Source organism: Homo sapiens, chromosome 10, assembly GCF_000001405.40.
Source record: "Homo sapiens chromosome 10, GRCh38.p14 Primary Assembly".
Taxonomy (NCBI): Eukaryota; Metazoa; Chordata; class Mammalia; order Primates; family Hominidae; genus Homo; species Homo sapiens.
In genome coordinates, this window is record NC_000010.11 from 33,530,550 (window position 1) to 33,537,893 (window position 7,344).

At 39.9% G+C, this 7,344-nt stretch overlaps 1 long non-coding RNA gene across 2 annotated transcripts; it reads left to right on the forward strand.

The window, feature by feature from the left end:
- Nucleotides 1-218: 218 nt before the first annotated feature.
- Nucleotides 219-6,639, forward strand: LOC105376489 (uncharacterized). Of its 2 annotated transcripts, XR_930813.4 has the most exons (4): nucleotides 219-349; nucleotides 1,461-1,559; nucleotides 4,665-4,753; nucleotides 5,615-6,639. It is a non-coding gene; the product is annotated as an uncharacterized LOC105376489 (long non-coding RNA). The 2 variants fall into 2 exon arrangements; XR_930812.4 differs by lacking the exon at nucleotides 1,461-1,559.
- Nucleotides 6,640-7,344: the final 705 nt, after the last annotated feature.

Below are 7,344 nucleotides of genomic sequence, written 5' to 3' on the forward strand. Positions count from 1 at the left end.
GGAAACTACCATCCCAGCAGTTTACCAAGGAAGAAGATGTCCTGCTTTGTGCGCATGGGTATTCCGATGGCTTGACATATCTAGTCCTACAGAAGAGAGGGCCATTTTAGGTTATGGAAGCTGGAGATGTTTCCAATGGAGACAGGGGATGAGAGTGAGGAGTTGCCTAGCAACACCAGCTGCCCACTTTCCAAGTGTTCTCACAAAATGGAATTATCTTAATGAATCCATCATGGTCCGGAGAATGAACCTCATCCTTTTGGGGTCAGAGATTATCTCATCATTGACTCCGAGTTGATTGGATGGATGCAGACAGTATACAGAAGAGCCTTTAGAGCTTCATACAATTGTGAGCTGATAATCTTTCTTAGAATCATCCAATTGGATGCACAGTCAACAAGCAGCCTTCTGGTAGTTCATTCATTTGTTCATTCATTCTCTATTGAGCCTTCAAGCACCTTCAGTGTGACAGATGTCACACTAGGTGCTAGACACACAAAGATAAATTATGTTTGTGCACTGCTTGGAGCAGCTCATTCCCTCCTCAGAGGTTTTGTTGCAGGGTGGAGAACAGGATGGCCAGCTGACAGGTATTCCAGGCCCTGCAGCTATGATTTTCTGCACTGTGATTTAACAAAATAACGCTAGGTGCAATCAGTCACTCTCTTGTGAATTGCTTAGCAAAGATTATTACCCCAGACAGAGTACACTGAGAAAAAATAATAAAACCCTAGGACTGGACCCCAAACTGAAGACTTCAGTGAGGAATTGCCTCTTTGTGACATTCCACCCTATATCGTAACACTGATGATTCACTTTGGAACCTAAAAGTTAGTTACTTTTATGTTCAACCTACACTCAGCAATTCTACTGCAATTTGTGTCTCTCCGTGTTGGCTACCTCTTATGATCTGCAATGCCACATACTACTATCTTCAGGCTGCAGGCTGAGCCTAGGAACTGAGTCTCAGCCATGCTTTCCTTCCATCACCCCTCCCATCCCCAGCTGGCAGTTAGTGTTTTGCAAATGATACTGCAAATGATTGTAGTTTGTGTTTATGAGAAAAGGGGGTTGGTAAGGAAAAGACAGAAAGAAAGGGGATTGGGGAAGGGGAGAGAGAGAGAAAGAGAGAGGGAGGGGTTTAAGCTACTTGGAATTTGGAGTTTAAGTTGCCCTTAAGTAAAGCATATTTTTAATAGGCTACTATAAGAAACACACTTTTCAAGGGAAAAAAAGTGGGTTTGAATTTTGGCTGCCACTCATTAGCAATATTATCTTTATAGGGTAATTATCATCTCCGGGCCTTGATTTTTCTAAACTGTAAAATGAAATGTTTGGAGTTAGAGAATTTTTAAATATTCTGGTATCATTGATTCTTGTATTTCTTGAGACAAAATCCTCTCTTTCACATTCTGCTAATTTTGTAATTTGTTTCACCATTCTCTCTTGACACATAAAAGGACTCTGTGAAAACTATCAGTATCGGAGAAGATTTCCTATAACCATCATATCATCTATGTTTCCTATTAGGGCTTCTGACATTCCACATGTTTTCAAAGGTAATTGGAAATACTGGAGACAATTTAAGGGTCATTATTGTGTTAGCCAAGAAAATAGCTAATGATGACTTTAGCTACTGGGCTATTCAGCCTATCATAGAGCCCATTAGCTCAATTAAGTAAATCAAATAGGAAAAAACATTTAGACTTAAAAAGCCACCCACCACTACCTATTACTTGCCTGTGAGGCTTCTATTTCATGGTGAATTCAAATTGCTTGTTCATTGTAGGTAGAAGAAAATGAGCAATCATCTGATTCAGCAGATGCAGTGATTCAAGATCACTTAGCATTTATAATGATAAACCAAAAATTATGTTAAATAGCAATTTTAAGGAAGCAGGTAAGACTAGAAGCCTTCTGCATAAATCAGGCTTGAGCTTTGCGGAAGTGGCTTCTTTCCCTGTACTGAGGTGTGAGAAGCAGCACATGGATTTTTATTCCTTTAAAGGATTTTCTTCAAGCAACAGTCTGTAGTTCAGGTTAATGGGAAGGCAAGGCAGTAGCATTGGGATGAACATTTATGATCCCAAACATTCTAATTCTAGGTGTCTACAGCATTCAAATATTGAGTAGGCACTTACACTTCCAAAGACCAATTCTTCAAGATAATGCTGAGGTTAACTTACAGTTTTATATATTATTCAATGGGGCAGTTCACAGGACATTTGAAGTGACTTGGAGAGAAAAAAGAATACCGCCGTTCATATTATTAATATTTATGGTACAGTTATTATATTCAGGCCATGCTATTGCTGGAGAGAGTTGGTCCATTGAATAAATGTGCAATGTTCATGAAGCAGTGAATATATCATTCAATTAAAAATTCAGCAACTGATGTAGTCAGGGATGTGCTGGTAAATGTCTCACAACTGGCTTTCCAGGACCGGTTTGCAGCATTTGCTGATTTTCATGGTGTAGACCCTTCCCTCATGGCTGACATCAAGCTACCAATGGGTTGGCATCTGGCTTGCACAACTGCTGGAAATTTAGCAATCAACTCGAGCACGCTGGCACAAGTTGCTCCAGCCCCAGTACCGGACATGACTTAAAGAGTGAGGGGGTGGAAAATTACAGTCAAAGGGGGTCCACTACCTACCCAAATCCTATAAAACGGCCCCACCCCTATCTCCCTGCGCTGACTCCTTTTTCGGACTCAGCCCACCTGCACCCAGGTGAAATAAACAGCCTTGTTGCTCACACACACACACACACACACACACACACACACACACACAAAGAGTAAGGGGTGAAATGGCTTTGCTTGTAACTGGATTCCAAGAGAATCATTCTTAGACCGCACACCTAAGTGTTTACTTTATTACCAACTATCATCTCAAAGTGGGAGAGAGGATGGGGATTGGGTCCCCTTTTCAGAAAACCCCTATGAAAGAGCCCTTTAGAAAAAGGCTGGGCTTGAGGAAGTCTTAATTCTAAATATCGCGGATCAGGGGAAGGAGCAGGTCATTCCATTTCCTTGGGACTCACATGTATAATAAGCAGATTTCATATCTGAGAGGCGTAAGTTCCCTTCTATTTTTGCTGCTCAGTGTGCAATTTAGTCCAAAAATTGACTCCGGTGCAGATCATTAAATTGTCAACAGCCAGTGGGTCCTGAAACATAAGCAAGGACTACCCAGACAGGAGGTCGGGAGTTTCTAATGCATCCCCGGGGACCTGCTAGGATCTTGACCTCTCTCTAAGAGAGGCTTTGGACTGATTCGGCATAACAGTGGGGGCAGATCTGCTTTCTCCAAGGCTGTCTCTTCCCTTCTATCAGTGATCTCCACCTTGCTCAGCCCACTCAATGCTGCCTTTGCTGTTACAGTCTAAGAAATGTGGCTCCTTTTTCCTAACCTCTCTTCTCCTTTCACCTGCATGTCATAAGGTGGTCATGGATATATTCTTTCATATTCTTGCTAAAATACTCATTGCTGGAAGTAACACAAGGGTATCAAATTTGTATAAACAACAGTATGATTTAGTTCTCTAATATAATAATGCAATATAACAAAATGAGTCCATTCAACTGTTGTCCATTCAACTATACCTTAATATATATTATTTTATTGATGCTTATCTATGTATACATTAGTTCTGTGCACAGTCTAGTGGATAGTGATCTGTTAAATGGATAAATGAATGAATGGCTGAAGTTTTATCCTTCTGAATGGATGAGTGGCCTCTCTAGTTCATTTTCAAGCCTCTAGGGCTATGATACATGTTTCCTATTTCCAGATTTTTCTTTATGTTCTCTCTTTATTTCTAGAAAACACAAATAGCTTCTCGCCCATGGGGGGGATTTTTGGCAGGAAAATCGCACTCTTTACCTGTCATCCACCTTCCAGAAATGCAGGAACTGAAAGACTGAGAAAGTGGAAAACACGCCATGCAATTGCTAACAGTTGGCAGAGCAGCAAGTGCACTCCAGTGGGTGGCATTTGTCCCTGTTTCTATGCTCTGATCTGAAGCTTGTACAACAGATGTACCAGGGGCTGGAGGATGGCAGTGCTCATTTGTGGAGGTGATAATGCTAGAAAACAGCTCAGGCCATGACTAGCATAGTGCCACAGGCTGATGAACCTGTTGGTCCTGCTGGGCAGTTTTAGCTCAGCAGCATTTTAACCATTTGCAACGCTAGAAGCAACGGCAAACATTGCTAATGTAACATTTCTTTATATGGCTAGAGTGCTGGAACTAGATGTCATGGAACTTTTCAAAAATACTGAGGCTTTATGTTCAGTTCTGAATAAAATTTTACCTCCAAATTTTCTTTTTTTTTTTGAGATGGAGTCTCACTCTGTCGCCCAGGCTGGAGTGCAGTGGCATGATATTGGCTCACTGCAGCCTCTGCCTCCTGGGTTCAAGCAATTCTCCTGCCTCAGCCTCCCGAGTAGCTGCAGTTACAGGCACCCACCACCATGACCAGCTAATTTTTGTATTTTTAGTAGAGACGGGGTTTCACCATATTGGCCAGGCTGGTCTCGAACTCCTCACTTCAGGTGGTCTGCCCGCCTCGACCTCCCAAAGGGCTGGGATTATAGGCGTGAGCCACCATGCTCAGCCAATTTTTATTTTTTATTTTTCAAAATTCTATTTTATTTTAGGTCCTGGGATACATGTACAGAACGCAGGATTGTTACATAAGGAAACGTATGCCGTGGTGGTTTGCTGCACCTATCAACCCATCGCCAAGGTATTAAGCTTTGCACGCATTAGCTATTTGTTCTGATGCTCTCCCTCCCCCAATGACAGGCCCCAGTGTGTATTGTTCCCTCCCCATGTCCACATGTTCTCATTGTTCAGCTCCCACTTATGAGTGAGAACATGTGTTAACCTCCAACTTTAAAAAAATTATAATCCCAGAACACTTTTGTGTTCTTGCTGTTAATTATAAAAATGACAGAAGAGTGTTACAACTCTTGTGTTGTTTATTATTTTTCTATAGTCCACCCAATGTCTTTGGGGGTGTGTGTAGTATTTAATACTTATTCCTGTTTTTATTTCGCTCTTGGTTCTCCTTTGTCTCATATAAGCCCATTCCTTATATTCTAGCTTTCTTATTTCTGTAAGTAAAAAAGAAAAAAAAAAATCTCAGGAAGAGGTAGGAATAATAATCTATTTAACATACTGAAAACATTCTTCCAAGGATCTTGGGGTATGTTTTCACAATAAAAATGGTAAAATTTATCCCCAGCAAAGGGACAATTTACTTAGAATCATCAAATCAGAGTTAGTCTTTAACCTTATATTTTAATCACTGTGAAGATTTAGTTAAAAGTGAGTGTTAGCCCCAGGAACAGACACAGGCTTTCTGGTCTTCATTTAACCAAGAAGAAGTTGAAATTACATAGGTTTTTTACCTCCCCCCCAAAAAAATAATAAAGGGAATCTATAGAAGCTGCAGCATTCTGATTTTTCAAGAAGTTGGTGGAGAGACAATGTCTGTTTCTAATTACACACACTAGTTAAGAAAAAGAATTTAAGTCAGCTGATATTTTTCCTTTCATTATTTATGATTTAAGTCAGCTCATCTTTTTCCTTTCATTATTTACAGGACATCTAATAACTGCTCTGATTGGATTTAAACATTTGCAGTGGGGTACTTCTGGCTTTGTGTATGTAGAAGTGGTGTCTAAAAGAGTCAACTGCTTCACCACAGGACTTTTATACTTCTCATGAAATACAGTCCTTCAAAAGGCAAATTCTCTATTTCCCCCACTTTGATTATCTGCTTATGCTCCTAAAATAATGTAAATATGGTCATTAATCATCTACAACATTGTCAATTAGGAGAGTAAAGCCAGTAATGAACTCTACATCCCTGACCTCATATGGTATGTTGCATTTTAAGGGAGCTGTTTTTATCAATGACAATCGTATTATTTGTGCTCATAACCTGGGCTCTACATCCAGTGAAAGGATTTTGATACAGAATCTTTATTTGAAGAGAACTACACAAAAACACCATCACCATCATACCTGATGTCTGCTATTGTTGAAATAGGCTTCAGCACTGTAGCTGGTGGAAACCAGGTCACCAAAGACACTGCCCTTGTACCTGGAAGGCCCGTCCCTGCCCCCATTCACACAGTGAATTCATTTAGAAGAGAGGAATGCTGTAGACAGAGTCATTAGAAAACCCTTCATGACTGTGGCGTGGAAAAGGGCTGGCAAGGATCACAAACAGCTTTCCTGGGTTTGGTCTTACAGCATGGACTTCTTCACCCTCATCTACACGTAAAATTTATTAACTTCAAGGAGAGGAGATCAGGGTTGCCTCTACCTTGCATTCCTATGTAGCCATGAATTAATTCCCAAATGCCAGTGTGAGCCTGTTTTCCTTTTCATACATCGTATTTGAGGAAACAGCTGGAAATATTACTCTGTGTGCCACACATCCCGATTCAGCACAGTCTCTTGTTCCCAGAGTGGAGTAAATGAGTAAAGAAATTATTCATCCGCCTTTTACCTAACTTGGTGTGTGACCAATAAATTCTCTCAAGATTGATTCAGGTTCCTATATTCATGGAAACAAAAAAAGAAAATTGGGCAGAAAATAATAAAGTCTATGTGTTTTTTTTTAAACTACACTTTTGCATTTCATCAGTGAGTAATCATAGAATGTTAAAGCTGCAGAGAAAATGTTAGAGGTCTTGAAATAAGTGCAACAGTGAGAATGAGTCAGTCTGGTATAAAGTAAAAACACTGAACTTGAAATTAGGAGATAGGGGAGGTGAAGTGTTTTCTGAAGAAGGAAAGTTCCATGGTCTCTCAGATGACTTCTATAGGTCATTTTCCTGAATGTCAAGATGATCCTTCATAACAAGTATCCAATAGGGGTCAAGTTTTGAAAGCATAGAGAGGGGATCTCCAAGTTCTTGGGTTATAAGCCCCATTGAAAACAATGTTTAGACGTCTCTCACATACGCAGAGGTGCTGTTTAGCACCTTTTAGAAAATTAAACTAGATTCTAATGATGTGTGTGTGTGTGTGTGTGTGTGTGTGTGTGTTATAAAAGCAATCTATTGGGATTGGGAAAGAATGGTAATGGAAATTTTTATTTTTTACTCTGATTATGGAATGTATTTTTTTTACAGTAAGCATAAGTTCAAGTATAATTAGTGTAATAAAAAACTATTAAAAACAAGAAGGTAAACCCTTACATGAGATAATACGATGACATTTATAGACCTTTACATGTCATCATAAGTTACTCTGAGTTACTGCTCAGCATGAAAAAATCCATTAACAATGTAAAGAAAAAGAACATGATCACATGTGGGT